This window comes from Homo sapiens, chromosome 5 (assembly GCF_000001405.40).
Source record: "Homo sapiens chromosome 5, GRCh38.p14 Primary Assembly".
Taxonomy (NCBI): domain Eukaryota; kingdom Metazoa; phylum Chordata; class Mammalia; order Primates; family Hominidae; genus Homo; species Homo sapiens.
Window position 1 is genome coordinate 127,763,656 of NC_000005.10, and position 25,750 is coordinate 127,789,405.

General features: G+C 38.5%; 1 protein-coding gene and 1 pseudogene across 12 annotated transcripts in view; one reads left to right on the forward strand and one right to left on the reverse strand.

Moving 5' to 3' along the window:
• The window catches only part of CCDC192 (coiled-coil domain containing 192), a 239,292-nt gene that overhangs the window by 61,440 nt on the left and 152,102 nt on the right, over nucleotides 1–25,750 (forward strand). The window lies entirely within an intron of this gene.
• Nucleotides 20,510–23,672, reverse strand: CUL1P1 (cullin 1 pseudogene 1; annotated as a pseudogene).

Below are 25,750 nucleotides of genomic sequence, written 5' to 3' on the forward strand. Positions count from 1 at the left end.
CAGCTTTACCTTACACCACTCCCTGTATACCACTATTACACCACTTTCAGTTCTTTAAAGGTATCATATCCTCTCTCACCTTTCTAATCTAGAAAAAACAAAGGCCTCATTTCTTAGAGTCAAATTATCATTAATACACCCCTTTCCCTCTGCTTCTGCCTAGAATTTCTCTGCTAACTTTCTCTACTTCCTCTTATCGCCTTACTCATTATCCAAAGAACCCCAAGAGACTTCTTTTCAGATCCTCAGTTAGATGCCATTCCCTCCAAAATGCACTTCTTCTTCCTTCAAGTTTGGGTTAGATGTCCTTAGGTGCTTTCATAATCTCTCTCCCACCTCCCGCCGATAATAATTGCTTGTCTGTGTCTCCCACTATACCATATAACACATGGAAGAAGCTCAGACAGTAACTCCTCTGAGGTCCTAAGCCAAATTAGAATTCATTACTTGTCCCTTTTCTGTCAAAGCCCATGTTTTTTCCATTATACATTTGGAGTTGACCCCTACACAAGGAGGGCCATTGAAGGAGGCACATTCTGATCTGTGCTCAAGAGAGAAAACAGTGAGGGACTGAGAAGGACAGATTTGAGAGACCAAAGCCAGGCATATCAATGTGTAGGCTCTTATAAAAATCCAGTTTGGAAATGATAAAGGCCTAAATTATTGGTGGAGAGAAGACAGAGACAAGATATATTTATGAGTTGGATTTGGTGATTAATTAAATGTAGAAGTTGAAGGGAAAGTAGGATTCAAGACAGATCCCAAGTTTCAGGTGACTACGTAACCTGTGGTTACCCAACTATCTTATGTTAGAATCATTAGATGTTAAAAATGATTCATTTCTTATGGACAACTCCATGCAGGCTCAATTTACCACTTACGCTATAGATTCTTCATCCAAGTTTTGGATGATTTTAATCTCCTTTTTTAGATCTTCTGAATCTTGCAATCCTTGGATATTATGTCAGATCCTTTAACTCTGGGGTGTCTAATCTTTTGGCTTCTCTTGGCCACATTAGAAGAAGAAGAATTGTCTTGGGGCACTTGTAAAATACATTAACACTAAGAATAGCTGATGAGCTAAAAAAAAAAAATTCACAAAAAACCTCATACTGTTTTAAGAAAGTTTACCAATGTGTATTGGGCCACATTCCATGCCATCCTGGGCCACATGTGGCCCACGGGCTGCAGGTTGGACAGCTTATTTTAAGCCATTTCCTGGAAATAGGTTTTCTTCTATTTTTCAGTCCCTGGAGCTTCAGGGAGAAAATTTTGGAAGACCATGTGTTTTGTGTATGAAGATCTCATTTATTAGCCTCAGAAAGTGTTTAATGTTGAAGTCTGGAGTTACACCAATGCAAATCTCTTGAGGTTATTGAATGAGTGTATAGTGACATGCAGTGGTCTAGTACAGAGGTCTTCAAAATTTTGTCCAGCAGGTCCCTTGGAGGTTCCTAGCACTCTTAAATGATCTTTAAAGTTAAAAGATTTGGATAATAGTTAAAATTATTTGGATAATAATACTAATAGGTTATTATTCTTTTCTACTATCATTCTTTTATGGGTGGAGGAGAGTCTTCCAGATTCTACATGGCAGAATGTATGCAGAAGCAGATATGAAAGTCCCAATGTCCTTTATTAAACCAGACATTAAGGAAATATGCAAAATGTAAAACAATACCACTTTTTTACTGTTTCATTTTTGTTTAGTTTTGAAAGAGTTATTTTTAATTAAAATATATTTTTGTGTTAGGATATACTGAGTTTATTTTTAAACAAATTAATAAAAGCACTTTTAAATTTCTAAGTTTTACTTTCTGATACAATAAATATCAGTAGATATAGCCCACATTAACAAAAACTTTTTAAAGTCCCCAGTAATTTTTAGAGGTGTAAAAACGTCCTGAGCATCAAAAGTTTACAAACTGCTGATTTATGACTCTGTAGAGTGTAATTCAAGGAGCACAGCCTGTTTGGGAATATGAATCATGTTGGAAACCACCATTACATAAAATAGATAGTAAATTAACATAATTTTATTAATAAACAAAATAGTAAATGCTAAACAGACTTCCAAAGAGGGGAGCCTCATCAGTGGCTGGTAATTGTAACATTTGGTCACTCTATCACTGAACAGAAAATGTCCTTCAATTAGTAGGAGGATATCAATGAAATGAACATGTTCCTTATTCATATTTCCAAAGACCGTGAATGAAAAAGGAGTTGTCCATATTATGGAGACTCTTCGTTTTCTTCCTGATCCCCAGTATTTGTGCGTCTAAGCTCCCTGAGTCTGTTTGGTTTTTCCCTGCTCACTGAAATTCTTCCTCCACTGCCTGTTGTCAGCTTCTTAAGCCTATTTTCACAATATGCCCTATGTTAACCCATCCCACTCACTTATGCCCTACGTTGACACTGCATTTCTGATTCTGACGGGATGATTTTAAATTTATAGCACACCCAGGCAGATAAATGCCTTTTTCAGAATGGTTTAAGGGAGGAAAGGGTAAAGGCTTCTCTCTGGTTTTGCCTAAGATGGAGAGCAGTCTTGGTGTCAGTGGTCTGAGTCTGATCTGCTCAGTCAAGGAAAAATACCTCCAGGGAGTGTTCTTTAACATGGTGAACAGCAGAGAGGCATTTGCTGAGAATGACTGATTACACAGAGTATAATATGCAGGCAAATATAGGAAAAAAAAGTTCTAGAGAGGACATATAATGGGTTATGAAATCAATCAATCAAATTCAATTTCCTCCCTAAGGAACTGGTAAACAAAACAAAACAAAAACCTGTTACCTAATATAAATAAGGGAGCAGTTCTAACCATTTCTAGATTTTAATTTCAGGCCATGGGACTTCTGTGGATTCTATTCTATTCTTGTCCTACCCCATCCAAGATGTCTACTTCTTACTTCAAAGTCCATTATTATCTGTGTATGTACTCACGTCCTGTGTAAAAAAAAAAAAAAAAAAAAAAAAAAGTACGAACTCTAAAGTTTCACTTACTCGAACTACCTCAAATATGTTGTCTCAGGTTGTTTCCCTTAGTAACACAATGGACTGCTGCTTCATCCTGCCACTTTGAGTGTGTGGTGTCCTTGTCCACCCCCACTTCCCATCTCTATTCCTCTGTTCTCATCTTGAGTATTCTGTGTTTTCTTTGGAACCCACACACTCTCTAAAGAAGCAGTAAGCTGAATTAGGATTCCATTCTGGTGGGAACAATCACTTCCTGCTTTAAAATTCATCTGGGAACAGTTGCCTTCCTCATTCAGAGTAGGGGACTCTGTATTTCCTAACCTCAAGGACTTTCCCTGAAGTTGCCTAATTTTTGTTTCCAAAAGCCTAAACCCATCAAAGAGACTAATAAGGCCTTGAGAGAAAGGGAGACTCCTGAGACAGACTCAAAGATAGCAGAGTGCCTTTTCCCCAAACTGGAAAGTAGAGAGTCAGCTCACTGAGTCACACCAGCATGGGAAGCCTGTACCCTGTTCCATGAAAATGCTCTGAGAATGTGCCAGTTAGAGGGAGTGTTGTATCCTAGGAATGTGTCCCAGGCCCCTGTGAAATGTCAGCTACCCTGTAGGATCTAGGATTCCACACAAGGGTTTCTGGTGGGACGAGAAAGGGCATTGCCAGTGCCCTGAAGATATATAGGGTTCCCAGATGGGTAAACTACCGTGGGGAGAGATCTTCGAGAACGGTTGTGTAACTACAGGTGAGGACTTAACGTTGAAATAAGATTTATAGAAAGTAAAAAATGTGCTATTTTTTGTACACTTGGATTTGTGGATTGAGAGCTGTCTGCTTTGCAGTAGCTCTATTTCTGTGTAATTACTTTATGTCCAATCTCATGTTGACTTTAATTTCTTAGAACCCAATATTATTGCTTTTTGACCTTTACCTTTAATGATTGCCCTTTATATCCGAGTCAATGATTGATCACCTCATCTTTCCCATGTCTTTTCATTTCTCTCTGGTATTCTTTATCTATTCTTAAGGCCTAGAGAACTTTTTTGAAGATTAAAGGAAACTTAGGAATCTCTTTGCCTGCATCCCTAACTTTATATTTCAATTATTGATTGGCCTGTTGGTAAATATTTCTATTTTCACTTGGAGTTTAAATGAGCCTTTGTTAAGGCTTATTAAATGATCCTTTATTAAGGATAATTTTCCCCAAAATAACGTGAGGGTGTTATGGATTAAATCGTATGTCAGCCCCGCAATTAATTTGTTGAAGTTCTAACTCCCAGTACCCTAGAACATGACTTTATCTTTTAAAAGGGTCATTGCACATGTAAGTAGTAAAGATAAGGTCGGCAGGGTGTGGTGGCTCACTCCTGTAATCCCAGCACTTTGGGAGGCCGAGGTGGGCGGATCACGAGGTCAGGAGTTTGAGACCAGCCTGGCCAACATGGTGAAACCCTGTCTCTACTAAAAATACAAAAATTATCCAGGCGTGGTGGCACGTGCCTGTAATCCCAGCTACTCAGGAGGCTGAGGCAGGAGAATCGCTTGAACTCAGGAGGCAGAGGTTGCAATGAGCCAAGATCCCACCACTGCACTCCAGCCTGGGTGACAGAGAGAGACTCCATCTCAAAAAATAAAAAAGTAAAAAAAAAATAAGGTCATACTGGAGTAGGATGGGCCCCTAATCTAATCTGATTGGTGTCCTTATAAAAAATGAAAATTTGGTCACACTCATATAGGGAGAAAGCCATGTGAACCTGAAAGCAGAGACCAGAGTGATGCTTCTGCAAGCAAATGAATGCCAGAGATTGCCAGCAAACCGTTAGAAGCTAGGAGAGGGGCTGGAATAGATTCTCCCTCACAGCCCTCAGAGGGAGCCATCCCTGCTGACACTTTGATCTCAGAATTGCAGCCTCTGGAACTGTGAGATAATAAATTTTTGTTGTTTAAGCCACCCAGTTTGTGGTACTCTTTTATGGCAGCCATAGCAGACAAATACAAGAGATTATTATGCTTCTAAGTAGACCCTTGGAGGTCTATTTTATGTGCGTAAACCTAGAAATGACTACAAAAGCTATTAAAGCCAAAACGTATTAATAAACATAAAAGTCTCTTCTGTCTAGAATGGGGTTAAGATAAAGATTTTGTTGTTTGTTTAACTCCTAAAATTGAAATGAGACTAAACCCGTTCTGTGAGCTAAATCTACATTCAGATATAGGGCTTCCTGCCCATTCCACAGGTAGGACAGGTAATTTTTAAAGTGCTTGCCAATGTTATTTACTGCCAGGAAATTTCCTAATTTGTGTTACTAATCCAGTTCAGCTTGCAAAGCATTTAGCACAAGAGAACGCTTTGTTTTTAAATTAAGTCCCTCCTTTCTCTGTAGCATGAGCTCTACAAGGTCTGGCAAGACTTAATTTGTTTTTCAGTGGTTTTTGAGTGACAGTGGAGAACTATTCTGCAATATTAATTACCGCATGTAAATGTGTGGGTTGTGGAGGAGAAAATTTTGGAGAACAGACAATAAGAAGAGATAAATAGGAAATTCACATTACTTAATGGAGTGGTTTTAATAATTGCACCAAGTGATGGATTGGGTGAATGGTGAGAAAAAGAGAAGTCTTTTATCTTTGTGGCTTAAACGTATGAATGGATGGTGCCATGTATTGAAAGAAGGAAGTCCGGGGAAGGAACAGATTGTGAGGAATTCATTTTGAACACATTAATTCTGATTTGCCTGGTATACATTCAAATGACAATATCAAATAGGTTGTTGGATTTTGTGTGTATGTGTGTGTGTGTGTGTGTGTGTGTGTCTGAAGCTGAGTGGTTGTACATTTGAAAACTGGGAGTCATCAATATGTGATTGGCATTTAAACTGTGGTACCTAATGAGATTACTTAGAGAAAGAGTATAGATAAAGCAGAGAGGAGTGCCCAGAAACAAATCCTCAGATCTCAATATGTAGATTTGAAGAAGAGGAAAATCCAGCCAATGAAACTGAGAATCTGAAAGAAATCCAGAGAATTCTGTCCTAGAAACAGAAAGGGGAGAGTGTTTCAAGGGGCATGAGGTGCTCAAATGTGTAATATTTTATTGTGAGGTTGAATAAGGTGCCCAGAAAATTGTATATGGCATTTGGTAAAATGAGGATCAGAGGAAACCTTGACAAGTTCCATTTCAATAACGTAGTCGAGGGCAGAAGCCAGATTAGAAGAGTGGTTGGGAGAGGAATGTAATTTAGGCTGCTGGCAGCCCTCTTCCCAGTTACTGGAAATTTTTTTCCATAGTGAGAGAAAGATATAGAGATAGAGATAAAAACGGAAAGAGGGAGGGAGGAAGAGAGAGAGATTGAGAGAGAATGGGCAAAGAGCCAATGGTAGAGTGAGAGATTTCTAAAACTCTAATTTGAGATTCAGGTTCTAGGGATGCCTCTACTTCCCAGTTAAATGAACCAATTTATTTTTTATTTTGTTTAGAGACTGGACCCCACTCTTTTGCCCAGGCTAGAGTGCAGTGGCATGATCATAGCTCAGTGTAGCCTTGAATGCCTGGGTTCAAATGACCCTCCCACCTCAGCCTCCCAGGTAGCTGACATTACAGGTGCAAGCCACCAAACCTAGCTCAGTTATCTTTTTAACCTAAACATATTTGCACTGAGTTTCTATAATATAACTGCAGTGACCTTGACAAATAGATAAATTGGTGACATACCTGAAACTGGAATTTAGTACAATCCCCCCAAAGGAATTCTCTGTACCTCTTTTCTTGGCTATGGCCATGGAAGTAAAGGACAAAGAAAGCTCTCAGAGGTCAGAAACAGTCAAATTGTTCAGCTACCTCCACTCACTGCACTGCCAGGACAGTGAGGCCTTTCTATCTCTTGACTAATAGAATGTGCAAATAGAATTTGTGATGGCTGGTGACAACTGTAAGTGATTTCCCCTTGCTCCTGATTGTCCTGTTTTTCTGTATATTGGGCATATTAGGGATGGTACATTATTTAATTTTAGATGCTATATCATGACAATTTTCATCTGGATCTGATCCAGGAGCGAATGCACATAGTTTGGAGATCTGAATGTAGAGCTAAAGGCAGTAACGATATAATTTTGGCTTGTTTCCTTTTGAGAGGGAGTGAATGCATTATTGGATTAACATAGAATAGATGCATTATATTATGCAGGAACATTTTAGGAAATGCATATTATGTATAGGTATAAGGGTTTAATTGTGCTGAACACCCACGGGGCAAGGGTGGACTATAATTGGCTTCCGTTTTTATGCCTGCTTTATTTGGAGAATGGCTCCTTTCTCACTCCAATCTTTTAATAATTCTATGGCTGTAAATCACAGTATTCCTGGCTAGAGGGAATGACTTTTGAGCACAATATCTAGGTTCTTTCAATTATATTATCTCATTTTCTTGACCATAAAAATTGATTCAGGACAGGTTATATGATCTAATAGAGTCTTTTTTCAATTTCTACTGGAAGATGAAGTGCCTTACTACTAAGGCCATGAAACTGGAAGTCTATAGGTGCCATTTTTCCTACTGTGTGAAGATAGCTTGTCTGCACTGGGAAATAACAAGGCAAACACATAGGAGCAGCACTAAGAATTGGAGGTAGGAAGAGACAGAATACTATGACCTTGTTTGAGTTTGTGGAATCTAGTTTATGTGAAACAGTACCTATTTCTGACTCCTTACTTATATAAGCCAATAATTTTTATGTGCCTTTTTAAAAGAGTTCAATTACAAAAAATGACAACAGTATGAGGTGATTGTTTTACGAAGTTTTGGAAAAGAAGCAAAAGTATGGGATGATAATGGAGAGGGAGGCAATGGAGAGTTCAGTGGACACCTTTCATTCATGGAAATGTCTATGTCATGTTTATATGCTGAATGGAATCTTTCAGAAAGAGTAAACTAGAAAATGCAGAAGTGGATTGGGGGGTAGGGTACAGAAATTACAGGAGCAAAGGCTTTGTGACAGGTAGGCGTGATAGGAGTCAAAGCCAAGTGCAGTGGCTGGCCTTTGATAAGCAGAAGAATATCATCTCTATTTGTTCAGTAAGAATGCTTTCCTCTTCAAATAACAGAATCCCAATTAAAGTAATGTAATAATGTTGCAGGACTTTTCCTTAGTTCAGCTAAAGATAGGGTCCTTGTCCAATGACCAGCAAGGTTTAGGCTCACAGGTTTGAAGGGTGAATACAGCAGGGTTTTATTGATTGAAAAGGAAAAAAAGGGGAAGCAGGGATTCTCCACGAGGCCAGAGTTCCTGTTGGTGTGGTTCCCGCCTTGCGTTTGAATCCCAGGTTCCACACAGGAAGAGGAGAGGCAAGCTCCTGCCTGCTGCAAATGGTGTGAACTGTGTGGCTTGGCCTCAGTGCGCATTTCTTCCACTGCACAGGCCAGTTGAAGTTTTGCCAGGCACCCCTTCCTACCTGGCTGTTTCAATAATGCCAGCTATCATCTTATATAACAATATGTCTATAGGTGGGCCAGTTTCACAGTTGGTTAATTCAGTGGTTCAAGAATGTCACCAACGGCCAGGTGCAGTGGCTCACACCTGTAATCCCAGCACTTCAGGAGGCCAAGGCAGGTAGATCACTTGAGATCAGGAGTTCAAGACCAGCCTGACCTACATGGTGAAATCCCATCTCTACTAAAAATACAGCATTAGCCAGGCGTGGTGGCGTGCACTGTAATCCCAGCTACTCTGGAGGCTGGAGCAGGAGAATCACTTGAACCTGTGTTGGGGGGGTGCGGACGTTGAGGTGAGCCAAGATCACACCACTGCATTTTAGCCTGGGTGACAGAGTGAGACTCTGTCACAAAAAAAAAAAAAAAAAGTCACCAAGATCCTTTGCTCTACCCTCCTTTGCTCCACCCTCTCTGTTTGTTGGTTGTGTCATACTTGCAAGATATTGGCAGTAATTCCAAGCAATAAGCAGTCAAAACTACATCCTGATAAAAAGAGATGTGCTTCTTCCTGTGCATCTTTTTAAAAATCTGGTAAAAATCCTCCTCAAGCTCCAGGGACCTCTATATATTGCATACCCGTGTCAGAAATGATCTCTTATACTGGAAATGAAACAAACATGACTGATTTAGTTCAATCATGATTCATGTCTCAGGGCTGGACAAGGCCAAGCTCTCCTGAACACATGGATGCTAGCTAATCCAAGTTGGGTTTTAGTTAGCAAGAGATAAAGGGGGAAAAAGACTCATGGGAAATAGATGATCAGTATCTGCTACAGTTAAGGTTTATAGATTAACTGGTGGGAAGGTGAGGGAATAGCTATCTGGCAGCTTCTGTTTTTTTCAGGGACTTACTGAGGTTGTCATTTGGGATGGGTAGAATTTTTGAAGAGAGGGGAAGTATGAAATGATATTTGAGGAGAAAGTTGAGGGAAATAAATAGCTACCTCACAGAAGAGAAAAGTCAGTTTACTAGGAGAAAAATATAGTGCTATTTTTATTTCAGGGTATTGTGGAGTACCCACCTGAGGTTTGTATTTATTAATTTAAAATGAAACCAGTGAATCCAATTTTGTGATGTTTTTTCTGGTAACATTCAATGAGTGGATGTAATGCTAACAATTTTCTAAACCTAAGAAAATCATTTATTTTCTATTTTTAATGGAGGTAAAATTCACAGAACTTAGAATTCATCATTTTGAAATATACAATTCTGTCACATTTAGTGCATTCCCAATATTGTGCAACCAACTCTTTCAAGTTTCAGTGCTTTTTCATCACCCCAGAAGAACACTTTATGCCCATTAAGTAATTACTCCTCATATCCTCTTCCTCTCATCCCTTGACAATCACTAATCTGTTTTCTGCCTTTATGGATTTATTTATTCTGGATATTTCAGATGAAAGGATTTATCTAATATGACCTTTTGTATCTGGCTTTTTGCACTTAACAAAATGTTTTTGAAGTTTATCCAAGCTACAGCAAGTATAAGTACTTTATTCCTTTTTATGCCTGAATAATATTCCATTGTGTGTACATAATGCAATTTGTTTATCCACTCATCTGTTGATGGACATTTGGTTTCCAACTTTTAGCTATTATGAATAAATATTTGTATGCCATATTTTGTGGGTGTAAGTGTTCATTTCTTTTTGGTATATATGTACAAGTAGAATTGCTGGATCACATGGTAATTCTAGGATTAACTTTTTGATCGGTCACCAATTATTTTCCACATTGCCTGTAACATATTACATTCTTACCAGCAATGTACAAGGGCTATTATTTCTCCATATCCTCAGCAACACCTTTTATTTTCCATTTGAAAAATTATAGTCATAATAGTAGGTATGAAGTAGAATCTCGCTGTGGTTTTGATTTGTACTACCTTAACGACTAATGATGTTGAACATCTTTTCATGTGCTTCTTGGCCATTTGTGTGTCTTCTTTAGAGAAATGTCTACTCAAGTCCTTTGCCCAGTTTTCAATTGGGTGGTTTGTCTTTTTGTTGCCGAATTGTAAGTTCTTTATATATTCTGCATACTAAACCTTTATCATATATGATTTGCAAATATTTTCTCACATCTCGTAAGTTGTCTTTTCATTTTCTTGATTATATTCTTTGCTACACAAGTTCTCAATTTTGGCCAAGTCAAATTTAACTATTTTTAACATTTTTTGTGTGTTTTTGCTGTCAAAGAACCCATTGCTTAATTCAAGATCATGAAGATTTACCCCAGTGTTTTCTGTTAACAGATTTACAGTTTGTGCTTACATATTTAGGTCGTTGATCTAGTTTAACATCATTTTTGTTTATGAAGTAACATAGGGGTCCAACTTCAAGTTCTAACATGTTGGTTATCCATTTGTGCCAGCACCATTTGTTGAAGATCCTCTTCTTTGCCTATTAAACTGTCTTGGCACCATTGTCAAACATCAATTAGCCATAGATTTTTGGGTTGATTTCGGAACTCTCAGTTCTATTTCAGTGGTCTATGTGTCAGTCCTTATTCCATTCAGATACTATTTGGATTACTGTAGCTTTGTAGTAAGTTTTGAAATTGGGAAGTGTGAGTCTTCCAACTTTTCTTCTTTTACAAGATACCATAGGCTGTTCTGGATCCTTTGAGATTTCATATGAATTTTGAGGACTGACTCTCTTATTCTGAAAAAAAGAAGCCATCATAATTTTAATAGAGATTGCATTAAATCTGTAGGTTGCTTTGAGGCATATTGCCATCTTCATAATATTAAGACTTTTAATCCATGAACATGAGACATCTTTCCATGTATTTAGTTTTTCTTTAATTTCTTTCTATAACATTTTGAGTTTGCATTGTACCAGTGTTTCCCTTCCTTGGTTAAATTTATTCCTAAGTAGTTTATTCTTCTGGATCAATTGTGAATGGAAGTATTTTATTTCCTTTTCAGATTGCTCATTTCTGGTTGTATAAATCATGCCTTTTTTTCCCTGTATTTCTGATACTTTGACATCTGAGGCCTTGGTGACCCTGGTTACACTACCCCTCCCTCCCAGGGCTAGCCAATTCCTAGAAATAGCAAATAACTTGCCTGGGAGCATTCCTTTCATATGGAAAGTAAACAGTCCAAAGCCCACACCCCCATTACCTCCTCTATTGGGTTCTCAAGCTCAGGGCCACAGTTCTTCTGCCCTAATCACCCCAAGTTCTGGTACCACACAACTAGGGATAAGCCCCTATGTTCCAGAGTTTGCTGAAATTTTTCAAACTAGCCAATCCAATGCTTGCCTATCTTGACTTATTCATCCCTTCTTAAGGAAACCACAACAAGGGCTCTTGCCCATGTTTTCCCCTTGCTCCCTCTGCCTCCTGACCAACTCCAGTGCTTTTCTGTGTGCCCCCTGTGGTGTAGCATGCTACCTCCTCTTGGGAACTGAGTGACAGACTACCTTTTCAGTGGCAATCATCTCCTGATTTCTTAGCGTCATCACACCTGAATAATAATAAAGCCTACACTTTAAAACACTGGTGTATAGAAACATAAACTGACTTTTGTGTGTTTATCTTTGATGTGGTTTGGCTGTGTCCCCACCCAAATCTCATCTTGATTTGTAGCTCCCATAATTCCCACATGTTGTGGGAGGGACCTGGTGGGAGATAATTGAATTATGAGGGCGGTTCCCCCATACTGTCCTTATGGCAGTGAATAAATCTCACAAGATCTGATGGTTTTATAAATGGGAATTTCCCTGCACAAGCTCTCTTTTTGCTGGCTGCCATGTAAGATGTCCCTTTGCTCTTCCTTCATCTTCTGCCACGATTGTGAGGCCTCCCCAGCCATGTGGAATTGTGAGTCCATGAAACCTCTTTTCTTCATAAATTACCCAGTCTGGGGTATGTCTTTATTAGCAGCATGAGTACAGACTAATACAGTAAATTGCTACCATTAGTGACTTGCTGCTGTGAAGATACCCAAAAGTTTAAAAGCTACTTTGGAACTGGGTAATGGGCAGAGGTTGGAAAAGTTTGGAGGGCTGAGAAGAAGATAGGAAAATGTGAGAAAGTTTAGAACTTCCTAGAGACTTGTTGAATGGCTTTGACAAAAATGCTAACAATTATATCTAGGCTGAGGTGGTCTCAGATGGAGATGAGAAACTTGCTGGGAACTTAAGCAAAGATTGCTCTTTTTATGCTTTAGCAAAGAGACTGGTGGCATTTTGCCCCTGCCCTAGAGACTTTTGGTACTTTGAACTTGAGAGAAATAATTTAGGGTATCTAGCAGAAGAAATTTCTAAGCGGCAAAGTGTTAAAGAGGTGGCTTGGGTGCTGTTGTTAAAAGCATTCAGTTTTATAAGGAAAGCAGAGCATAAAAGTTCAGAAAATTTGCAGCCTGACAATGCGACAGAAAAGAAAAACCCATTTTCTGAGAAGAAATTCAATCAGGCTGTAGAAATTTGCATAAGTAATGAGGAGCCAAATGTTAATCATCAAGATGTTGGAGAAAATGTCTCCAGGGCATATCCAAGGTCTTCACAGCAGACCCTTCCATCACACGCATGGAGGCCTGGGAGGAAAAAATGGTTTCATGGACTGGGCCCATGGTCCCTCTGCTGTATGCAGTATAGGGACTTGGTGCCCTGCATTCCAGCCACTCCAGTCATGGCTAAAAGGGGCCAAGGTACAGTTCAGGCTGTGGCTTCAGAGGGTGCAAGCTCCAAGCCTTGGCAGCTTCCACATGGTGTTGAGCCTGCGCGTGCAGAGAAGTCAAGAATTGAGGTTTGGAAACTTCCGCCTAGGTTTCAGAGGATGTATGGAAATGCCTGGATGTCCAGGAAGAAGTTTGCTGCAGGGGCAGTGCCCTCATGGAGAACCTCTGCTAGGACAGCACAGAAGGAAAATGTGGGGTGGGAGCCCCCACACAGAGTCTTCACTGGGGCACTGCCTAGTGGAACTGTGAGAAGAGGGCCACTGTCCTCCAGATCCCTGAGTGGTAGATCCACTGACAGCTTACATCCTGTGCCTGGAAAAGCCACAAACACTCAATGCCAGCCTATAAAAGCAGCCATGAGGGAGGCTGTATCCTGCAAAGCCACAGCGGCAAAGCTACCCAAGACCATGGGAGCCCACCTCTTTCATTAGCATGACCTGGATGTGAGACATGGATTCAAAGGGGATCATTTTGGAGCTTTAAGATTTGATTGCCCTGCTGGATTTCAGATCTGCCTGGGACTTTTAGCCCTTCTGGTTGGGCCAATTTCTCCCATTTGGAATGGGTGTATTTATCGAATGCTTGTACACCCCTTGTATCTAGGAAGTAACTAACTTGCTTTTGATTTTACAGGCTCATAGGCAAGAGAGACTTTCCTTGTCTCAGATGAGACTTTGGACTGTGGACTTTTGAGTTAATGCTGAAATGAGTTAAGACTTTTGGGGACTGTTGGGAAGGCACGATTGGTTTTGGAATGTGAGGACATGAGATGTGGGAAGATCCAGGGGTGGAATGATATGGTTTGACTGTGTCCCCACCCAAATCTCATCTTGAATTGTAACTCCTGTAAGTCCCACATGTTGTGGGAGGAAGCCAGTGGAAGATAATTGAAGCATAAGGGCCATTCCCCCATACTGTTCTTGTGATAGAGAATAAGTCACAAGAGATCTGATGGCTTTATAAATAAGAGTTCTCTTGCACAAGCTCTCTTTTTGCCAGCTGCCATGTAAGACATTCCTTTGCTCTTTCTTCATCTTCTGCCATGATTATGAGGCCTCTCCAGCCACGTGGAACTGTGAGTACATGAAACCTCCTTTTTTTTTTTTTACAAATTATCCAGTCTCAGGTATGTCTTTATTAGCAGCAGGAAAACAGACTAATAAAATCTTATACTCTGCAACTTTACCAAATTCATTTATTAGCTTGTGTGTGTGTGTGTGTGTGTTGTTTGGAATTTTTCTTAAAATAGAATTATGTCATTTTCAAATACAGATAGGTGAACTTCTTTGTTTCCAATGTGGATGTCTTATTTGTTCATATCATAGCTCTAGCTAGGACTTTCAGTACAAGGTTGAGTAACAGTGGTGAAAGTAGACATCCTTGTCTTGTTCCTGATCTTACCAGAAAAGCTTTCTGTCTTCCACCATTGAGTACAATGCTAGCTGTGGAATGTTCATAAATGTCTTTTATCATGTTGAGGAAGTTTCCTTTTCTTTTCCTACTTTGATGAATATTTTTATCATGGAAGAGTGTTGGATTTTGTCAATTTTTTTGCATCTGAATTGACCATGTAGTATTTTTCCTCTATTCTATCAATGTGATCTATTGCCTCAATCCATTTTTAGATATTGAACCACTCTTGTACATCTGAGATTAATCCCACTTGGTCATGGAGTGTAATATTTTTACTGTGCTGTTGGATCCAGTTTGCTAGTATTGTGTTGAGGATTTCTGTATCTATATTCATAAAGGATATTAGGCTATAGTTTTCCTGTACTATTTTGTCTGACTTTAGTATTAGGGTAACATATTAGGAAGAATTTCCTTATCTTCTGTATTTTGGAGGGGCTTGAGTAATATTAGTGTCAGTGTTAATCCTTTTTGAAATGTGTAATATACCAGTGAAACCAACTGGCTCTGGGCTTTTCTTTGTTGGGAGTTTTGTTTCTTTTCTTTTCTTTTCTTTTTTTTAAAATGGATTCAATCTCTTTAATTGTTGTAGGTCAATTGACATTTTCTATTTCTTCTTGAGTCAGTTTTAGTAATTCATGGTTTCTAGGAATTTATTCAGTTCATCTAAATTATCTAGTTTGTTGGCACTCATTTGTTCATACTAGTATCTTATAATCCTTTTATTTCTGTAAAGTTGGAAGTATTGTTTCCACTTTCATTTCTGATTCTAGTTATTTACATCTTATGTCTGTTTTTCTTAGCAACATAGCTAAATATTTATCAACTTTGTTGATTATTTCAAGGAACCAATATTTGGTTTTATTGATTATCTCTGTTTTTTTATTCTCTAGCTTGTCATCTCTGCTTTAACCTTTATTATATCCTTCCTTTTGTTGGCTTGTTGATGTGACATCTTTTTCATTTTGTAATGTAGGCATTTTCAGCTATAAACTTTCCTCTGCATCACATAAGTTTTTTTCTATATATATAGATACATTTTATATGTGCATATATAAACAAATAAACATATATGAGGATCTATGTAAAAATTTTTTTTTGAGATGGAGTCTTGCTCTGTCACCCAGGCTGGAGTGCAGTGGTGTGATCTCGGCTCACTGCAAGCTCTGCCTCCCAGGTTTATGCCATTCTTCTGCCTCAGCCTCCCAAGTAGCTGGGACTACAGGTGCCCGCCACCACGCCTGGCTAATTTATTGTATTTTTAGTAGAGACGGGGTTTCACTGTGTTAGCCGGGACAGTCTCGATCTCCTGACCCTGTGATCCACCCGCCTCAGCCTCCCAAAGTGCTGGGATTACAGGCATGAGCCACTGCGCCTAGCCTGGATCTATGTAAAATTACATACCATCACCCAATGCAGAACCCATGCATTAAATAAGTAAGTTGTCATCAACCTGAGACTGATGTTCAAGTAGTAACTTCTTTTTTCTTCTCAATCTCCTTTGTTCTTTTTTTAAAAAATGTTTTTATTTTTCCATAGGTTATTGGGGGTACAGATGGTGTTTGGTTACATGAGTAAGTTCTTTAGTGGTGATTTTTGAGATTTTGGTGCACCCATCACTCGAGCAGTATACACTGCACCCTATTTGTAATCTTTTATCCCTCACCCCCCTCCCACCCTTTCCCCTAAGTCGCCAAAGTCCACTGTATTATTCTTATACTTTTGCATCCTCATAGCTTAGCTCCCATGTATCAGTGAGAACATATGACATTTGGTTTTCCATTTCTGAGTTATTCACTTAGAATAATAGCCTCCAATCTCATCCAGGTTGCTGCAAATGCCATTAATTCATTCCTTTTTATGGCTGAGTAGTATTCCATCATATATATCTATATTTATCTATATATACATACACACACATATATATACACACACACATATATACGTATACGCACACACATATATATATATATCACAGTTTCTTTATCCACTCATTGATTGATGAGCATTTGGGTTGGTTCCACAATTTTGCAATTGTGAATTGTGCTGCTATAAACAAGCATGTCCAAGTATCTTTTTCGTACAACGACTTATTTTCCTCTGGGTAAATATCCAGTAGTGGGGTTTCTGGATCAAATGGTAGAACTAAAAAGTTCTACTTTTAGTTATTTAAAGAATCTTCACACTGTTTTCCATAGTGGTTGTACTAATTTACATTCTCACCAGCAGTGTAGAAGTGTTCCCTGATCACTGCATCCATGCCAACATCTACTGTTTTTTTATTTTTTGATTATGGCAATTCTTGCAGGAGTAGGATGATGTTGCATTGTGGTTTTGATTTGCATTTTCCTGATCATTAGTGATGTTGAGCATTTTTTCATATATTTGTTGGCCATTTGTATATCTCATTTTCAGAATCGTCTATTCATGTCTGTAGCCCACTTTTTGATGGGACTGCTTGTTTTTTTCTTGCTGATTTGTTTGAGTTTGTTGTAGATTCTAGATATTAGTCCTTTGTCAGATGTATAGATTGTGAAGATTTTCTCCCACTCTGTGGATTGCCTGCTTACTTTGCTGACTGTTCCTTTTGCCATGCAAAAGCTCTTTAGTTTAATTAAGTCCCAGCTATTTATCTTTGTTTTTATTGCATTTGCTTTTGGGTTCTTGGTCATGAAATCCTTGCCTAGGCTAATGTCTAGAAGGGTTTTTCCAATGTTATCTTTTAAAATTTTTATAGTTTCAGGAAAGCACATAAGATTTAAATCCTTAATCCATCTTGAGTTGATTTTTGTATAAGGTAAGAGATGAAGATCTAGTTTCGTTCTCCTACATGTGGCTAGCCATTTATCCCAGCACCATTTGTTAAAAAGGGTGTCCTTTCCCTACTTTATGTTTTTGTTTGCTTTGTCAAAGATCAGTTGGCTGTAAGCATTTGGGTTTTTTTCTGGACTCTCTATTCTGTTCCATTGGTCTATGTGCCTATTTTTATACTAGTACCATGCTATTTTGGTGACTATGGCCTTATAGTATAGTTTGAAATTAGGTAATGTGAAGCCTCCAAATTTGTTCTTTTTGTTTAGTCTTATTTTGGATATGCAGGATCTTCCTTGGTTCTACATGAACTTTAGAATTGTTTTTTCTAATTCTGTGAAGAATGATGGTGGTATTTTGATGGGAATTGTGTTGAATTTGTAGATTGCTTTTGGCAATATGGTCATTTTCACAATATTGATTCTACCCATCCATGAGCATGGGATGTGTTTCCATTTTTTTGTGTTGTCTATGATTTCTTTCAGCAGTGTTTTGTAGTTTTCCTTGTGCACGTCTTTCACCTCCTTGGTTATGTATATTCCTAAGTATTCCTTTTTTTTTTTTTTTTGCAGCTATGGTAAAAGGGGTTGAGTTCGTGATTTGATTCTCCACTTGGTTGCTGTTGGTGTATAGAAGAGCTACTGATTTGTGTACACTAATTTTGTATCCAGGAGCTTTGCTGAATGCTTTTATCAATTGTAGGAGCTTTCTGGAGGTGTCTTTAGGGTTTTCAAGGTAAACAATCATGTCATCAGCCAACAGTGACAGTTTGACTCCTCTTTACTGATTTAGATGCCCTTTATTTCTTTCTTTTGTCTGATTGCCCTGGCTAGGACTTCCAGTACTATGCTGAAGAGGAGTGGTGAGAATGGGCATCCTTATCTAGTTCCAGTTCTCAGAGAATATGCTTTCAACTTTTCACCATTTAGTATTATGTTGGCTGTGGGTTTGTCATCTTTTATTACATTGAGGTGTATCCCTTGTATGCTGATTTTGCTGAGAGTTTTAATAATAAATGGATTTTGTCAAATGGTTTTTATGCATTTATTGAGATAATCATGTGATTTTTGTTTTTAATTCTGTTTTTGTGGTGCATCACATTTACTGATTTGCATATGTTAAATCATCCCTGGTATGAAATCCACTTGATCATGGTGGATTATCTTTTTGATATGGTGTTGGATTTGGTTAACTAGTATTTTGTTAAGGATTTTAGCATCTATGTTCATCAGGGATATCGGTCTGTAGTTTCCTTTTTTGGATATGTCCTTTCCTGGTTTTGGTATTAGGGTGATGTTGGCATCATAGGATGACTTAGGGAGGGTTTCCTCTTTCTCTATCTTGTTGGAATAGCGTCAATAGGATTTGTACCAATTCTTTGAGTGTCTGGTAAAATTCTGCTGTAAATTCATCTGGTCCTGGACTTTTTTTTTTGTTGGTAATTTTAAAATTTCCATTTCAATCTTGCTGCTTGTTATTGGTCTGTTTAGGGTATCTAATTCTTCCTGATTTAAGCTAGGAAGGTTGTATCTTTCCAGGAATTCATCCATGTCATCTAGGTTTTTTAGTCTGTATGTAAAGATGTACACAATAGCCTTGAATGATCTTTTGTATTTCTGCGGTGTCAGCTGTAATATCTCCCATTTCATTTCTTATTGAGGTTTTTTGGATTTTCTCTTTTCTTGGTTAATCTTGCTAACGATGTATCAATTTTATTTATCTTTTCAAAGAACCAGCTTTTGGTTAATTTCTCTTTTGTATTTTTTGTTTGTTTCAATTTCATTTAGTTCTGCTCTGATCTTTGTTATTTCCTTTCTTCTGCTGGGTTTGGGTTTAATTTGTTCTTGTTCCACTAGTTCCTTGAGGTGTGACCATAGATTGTCAGTTTGTGCTCTGTCAGTCTTTTTGATGCAGAGTTTTAGGGCTATGAACTTTCCTCCTAGCATCGCCTTTGCTGTATCTTAGAGGTGGGGTTTTTTTTTTTTTTTTAAGACGGAGTTTCACTCTGTCACCCAGGCTGGAGTTCAGTGGCACGATCTTGGCTCACTGCAACCTCTGCCTCCTGGGTTCAAGTGATTCTTCTGCCTCAGCCTCCTGAGTAGCTGGAACTACAGGCACGTGCCACCATGACCTGCTAATTTTTGTATTTTTAGTAAAGACCATGTTTCACCATCTTGGCAAGGATGGTCTCGAACTCCTGACCTTGTGATCCACCCTCCTCGGCCTCCCAAAGTGCTGGGATTACAGGCATGAGCCACTGCACCCAGCATCCCAGAGGTTTTGATAGGTTGTGTCACTATTGTTGTTCACTTTGAAGAATTGTTTAAATTTGCATCTTGATTTCATTTTTGATCCAGTGATCACTCAGGATCAGATTATTTAATTTCCATGTATTTGCATGATTTTGAAGGTTTCTTTTGGAGTTGATTTTCAGTTTTATTCCACTGTGGTCTGAGAGAGTGCTTAATATGATTTCAATTTCCTTAAATTTATTAAGGCTCATTTTGTGGCCTATTATATGGTCTATCTTGGAGAAAGTTCCATGAGCTGTTGAATAGAATGTGTATTCTGTGGTCGTTGGGTGGAATTTTGTATATGTATCTGTTAAGTCTATTTGTTCCAAGGTATAGCTTAAATCCATTGTTTGTTGTTGTTGTTGTTGTTGACTTTCTGTCTTGATGACCTGTCTAGTGCTGTCAGTGGAGTATTGAAGTCCCCTACTACTATTGTATTGCTGTCTATCTCATTTCTTAGGTCTATAAGTAATTGTTTTACAAATTTGGGAGCTCCAGTGTTAGGTGCATATATATTTAGGATTGTGATACTTTCCTGTTGGACAAGGCCTTTTACCATCATATAATGTCCCTCTTTGTATTTTTTAACTGCTGTTGCTTTAAAGTTCATTTTGTCTCATATAAGAATAGCTACTCCTGCTCATTTTTGGTGTCCATTCATATGAAATACCTTTTTCCACCCCTTTACCTTAAGTTTATGAGAGTCCTTATGTGTTAGGAGAGTCTCTTGAAGGCAGAAGATGGTTGGTGAATACTTATCCATTCTGTTGTTCTGTATCTTTTAAGTGGAGCAATATGGCCATTTACATTCAATGTTAGTATTGAGATGTGAGGCACCATTCAATTAGAAATCCTTTAATTTTCTTTATTTTCACACATTAAAAATGAAACACACTAAAAAAATGGTTTTCATAGCAGATTACACATGGGTCCATTCAGACTTGCTCTCAAAGTGCTGCCAATATGACAAGTGCTGCCAATACAACAGCTGCTAATTGGAGAGCCCATGTCTTGATTTAAATGCAGTAGCATGCAGCCTTCAGTGTGGGAGGTTCGGTCTTCTCTGTTCTTAAATTAGGGTAAATGGCATTGGTGTCCATATTTACAGACATGAAATGTATCTATCCTGAGCAGTTCCAATGTAAATCTGAGACCAGCTGATGGGAGTCTTGGTCTCAGCTTTAAAAAGGGAGGTACAATGGTGGCAGGCTGGCTGCTGTAAACTTGAGTTGTTTACATTCTTTCCAACATGAACTATTTGCTGTGGGACACACAGTCAGACCCTTCCTGGAGGGTTAAGCCAAGTAACTGTAGGTGTGCTTTTCACCATCAACTTGCTCCAAATATTCTTTCTCAATTAGAATGTCAATGCATTTCTTGATCAGGGACCCGGGATTTGAACCTGGAGGATAGCTGAGTGAGGGCCTCATCAACTAACTGCTGGTGTTTCAAAACCTTCCTCATCTTCATGATTCTCATGATGGCCATCTGAATCAGTAGTTTGCAGTCTTCCTCAATATTTTTGTTTGTGTTTTCTTGTTCCTGCTTCTGTTCAGTTTCATGGGCACATTGATGTTAACCCTTAATTTCTAATTTTTATAACCAAGATGTAATTTTATTAAGGTATCTGTCTTCAATTCCACCTCATCAGCATTTACATTTTCATCTTCCAAGACCAATAACTTCAACTTTAATAAAATCTGTAGGACTTATGCCAAAATGTCCATTTTAATTTGAGTGCAATCAGTCAGCTGCTGTACAGTGTAGGCATCTTCTGTGTTGTACTGAAGCAGGATTGCCGTCTGGAATGTGGATGCCTGCAAAGTATATCTGTTTGTAAAGCAGTTAGTTACCAATTCTCCTTTAGACAACTGATATAACCATGTCAATTTTCAGCCACTGTGACAGCTGGCATAGAAAGCTGTGAATTGCCGATAACTACATTCCAACCCTAGGGGAAGGCAAACATACAAGACTGCTTAAAGGGCCAGGACCCAGAGCTCAGCACCTGAATGCTGAAATCCCAGTCTAGGGGTTCTGAATTTGTCAGGTGATTTTTGAATTGCTCATTCAGATCTTTGCTCACACCAGTGTCTTGAAACATCCACTGAAGTTTAGAGGTATACTCAAAACCACAAGCTTGCTTTAACTTAGAGAACATGCTGGCTTCAGCATTGTCACTCACTGCCTTCCCTTAGAGTTGGAACGTAGTTATCGGCAATTCACAGCTTTCTATGCCAGCCATCACAGTGGCTGAAAATTGACATGGTTACTGGCATCATCATTTGCATCATCACTGTTCTGGTAGATGAGCCTCTTGGCCAGCATTTTTGCATAGAACTTCTGAAACACATCTTTGTCCTCTATGTACTTGAAGACAACCATTATATGATTGAGTGTATCTTCTAGTTCTGCCTCATCTGTGTTCTTGGAACTTTTCTTCAAGAACGAGTCATAGTATTGAGCCAATGACTCATGGGAGTTACTGGATAAATAGGCCATCTTGGTAACCGCATTGTTGTTTATGAAGCAACCACAACCTTGTCAAGAGCAGCCACAAAGCCAGTGTCATTGTTAAATGCAGACATTACCAAGGCAATGCATTTTTTATGAAGGTCAAGCACCTTCTGTACATACATTTTGGGGTCATTTAAAGCAGCTTCTCCACATTTTTCAATAGCTAAAAGACCCTGATTATGAATCTGTGTCTCCAGCAGTTTTTTCAATTCTCCTAGGTCATTCTGGATTCTAGATACAAGATTATACATGTGTCCCAAATCTTCATTTTTGTCAGCATCCAATAAATTCTGAAGTTCTGTGTGGAAAATTTCCAAGTGTTTTTCAATGAGGACTTTCTCACATTTCCTTGCTAATTCATCTTGTGTGCCTTCATGAAGGTAAACCTGAACTCTTCATTGTTCCTGAAGCACACAAGCCTCTGCCTTATTCATATATTCAGTAACTGGGTTCTGCTGCAAGAATTCAGTACTCTCTGTGACATAAAATCTCTCTGTGACAGAAAAAAAAAAGAGAGAGATTCAAAGGATTCTTTATACACTGTTAATGTAGGGCCCTTTGCAAATGCATCATCTTCCTTCAGCTCCAATTCCATGTAACACTGTACAACTCCACTCACAGTTTTGTATTGATGGTTTCACCATTTCCTTCCTTTTTGATCAGCTTTGAAACAGAATTTCTTACCTGTTTATTCAGTGGCCTAAATGGTCTCTCCAAGTCACCAATGCAAGGGAATAGATTTCACATATTCCTTTCGTCCTTTGTCACATTCACGGTGAACCCAGTGTCTACTGAGGTAGGCACAAATTCCATTCAGCACTTTGCTTGAAAATCAGTAATCTTCCCATTGTTGAGTGTAGAATTTCAGTACACTCTTGTCCATCAAATCTTCTCCATGCTTAAGAAGACTTGTCAAGTAATTATTCAAAAATTACTTAAGTTGTTTGTATAATTCCAGGCCAATGTACTGAGCTCCTTCAGGTGTCTGCCCCTTTTTTGATGTAGAAACTCTGGCTCCTCATGCTTGGTTTGACTGGTGTACACTAGCACACTAGTTATGAACATGAGTGTGGAGCTCCATGTATCTGGACCTGGTCATGCTGTGCCACATGTACACCTGCTGGATGGTGGCTCTGAGGTCATCCAGATCTGGTCTAAGCCAATCTGCTTCAGGCCATGGGGGTTCTGGCTCCGGATTTATGACATCGTGAGGGATGTTCTAAAGCTGTCCAGTGCAGCAATCCTTATTCAAAGTTCAGCTAGTTCTCCATTAGATAAAAATATGCAGTACCATTCCAAATTTATTCACAGCAGTTTGGAAAGAATGTCCTTTAAGTGTAGAGAGTGAAATATATTGCAGGCAAACTCACATCTCCATGGTACCCAAAAGGCTCCCCTGATGCCTCCACCTGGTCACCAGGCCTAGACCTTGGCAAAACCCCCATCCCACCAATGTCTGGCTGCATCCCTCAGCCACTGGGCTGCCCTGCCTGGAGTTGCATGTGACATGGCACCTACCTCCTCCTCACCTGCCAGCCCAGGCCTCCTCCTCCTGCTGCCGCCACCTCGTCCCATAAGTTTTTGTATGCTATGTTTTGTCTTCATTTGTTTCTAAATATTTTTTAATTTGCCTTGTGATTTTTTCTTTGTCCCACTGGTTGTTTAAGAGTGTGTTATTTCTGTGTACGTGAAAATTTTTCAATTTTCCTTCTGTTATTGATTTTTAGCTTTATTCTCTATTGTTGTGAGAGAAGATACTTTAAATGATTTTATTCCTTCTAAATTTATTGAGAATTATTTTTATGAACCAAATTATAGCCTATCCTGGAGAATGCTTCATGTGCACTTGAAAAAATGTATATTTTTCTGTTGTTTTGTGGATTGTTCTATCTGTCATACTACGTCTGTTATGTCTAGTTGATTTATAGTGTAATTCAAGTCTATTTTCTTCTTGTTTTTCTGTGTAGATATTATATCCATTATGAAACTGGAATATTGCACTTTGAGAGGTCAAGACAGGCAGATCACTTGAGGTGAGGAGTTTGAGACCAACCTGGCCAACATGGCAAAACCTCATCAATTCTAAAAATACAAAAATTTGCTGGGCATCATAATGCATGCCTGTAATCCCAGCTACTTGGAAGGCTGAGGCAGGAGAACCTCTTGAACCTGGGAGGTGGAGGTTATAGTGAGCCAAGATCACACCACTTCACTCCAGCCTGGGTAACAGAGTGAGACTTCACCTCAGAAAAAAAAAAAAAAAAAAAAGGGGGGGACTATTGAAGTCTCCAACTATTCTCACAAAAGTGTCTACTTCTTCTGTAAATTCTATCAATAGTTGCTTCATGTATTTTGGGACTCCATTGTTTGGTGCATTTATGCGTATAGTTTTATATCTCCTTGACAAATTGCCACTTTTATCAATATGCAATGTATTCCTTTTACTTTTATAAAAATTTTTGACAACATCTATGTGACTATGTGACTATGAATATAGTCACATTGGCTGTTTTTGGGCTACAATTCACATGCAACATCTTTTTTCATTCTTTTACTTCCAACCTATTTGTTTCTTTGAGTCTAAAGTGAGTTTCTTATAATCAGCATATAATTGGATCACACTTTAAAATTTATTCTGCTAGTTTCTGTCTTTAATTGGGAGTCAAAGTCACTTAAATTAAAATATTACTAATAATAAAGAACATACTTCTGCCACATTGCTTTTCATTTTCTATATATTTTATGTCCTTTTTATTCCTCAATTCCTCCAATACTATCTTCTTTTGTGTTTGATTGATATTTTCTAGTGTTCCATTTTGATTCTGTATCTTTTGCAGTTATTTGCTCCTAGAATGTATATGTTAGTATGCTTAATAGTGTCCTGTAGGCCTCTTAGGTTCTGTTTATTTCTCTTCATTGTTTTTTCTTTCTGCTGTTCAGACTGGGTAATTCCAATTGCTGTATTGCTATGGACTGAATATTTACACCTCCTCCAATTCATATGTTGAATTCCTAATTTTTAATGTGATGGTATTTGGAAGGGGTACATTTAGGAAATAATTAAGGTCGTGAGGTTGGAATCCTCATGATGGAATTATTGCCCTTATAAGAAGAGAAGGAGATAAGAGCTCTACTTTTCTTCATCATGTGAGGATACAGCAAAAAAAAGGGGCTGTCTGTAAAATAGAAAGAGGGGCCTCACAAGACACTGAATTTTTTGTCACTTTGGCCTTGGACTTCTGAGACTCCAGAATTGTAAGAAATATTTTTTCTTTAAGTCACCAAGCCTGTGATATTTGTTATAGAAGTCTGAACTGACTAAAATAAATTGGTAACAAGAAGTGGGATGCTACTGTAACATATACCTTAAAATGAGTTTTGAGCTTCAGGCTTTAAAAAGTAGATATTTCCATGAAGGGGCTGCTGAAGACAATCTGGTGAGGCCTGACCAAAATAGGAGAACTGGAGAGAAATCCTCCCTCTTATTCGAGAAGACATAAATAATCATGAGCAGAATATTGATGGAAATATGAACAGTAAAGGCCATTTTGATGAGGTTTTAGATGGAAA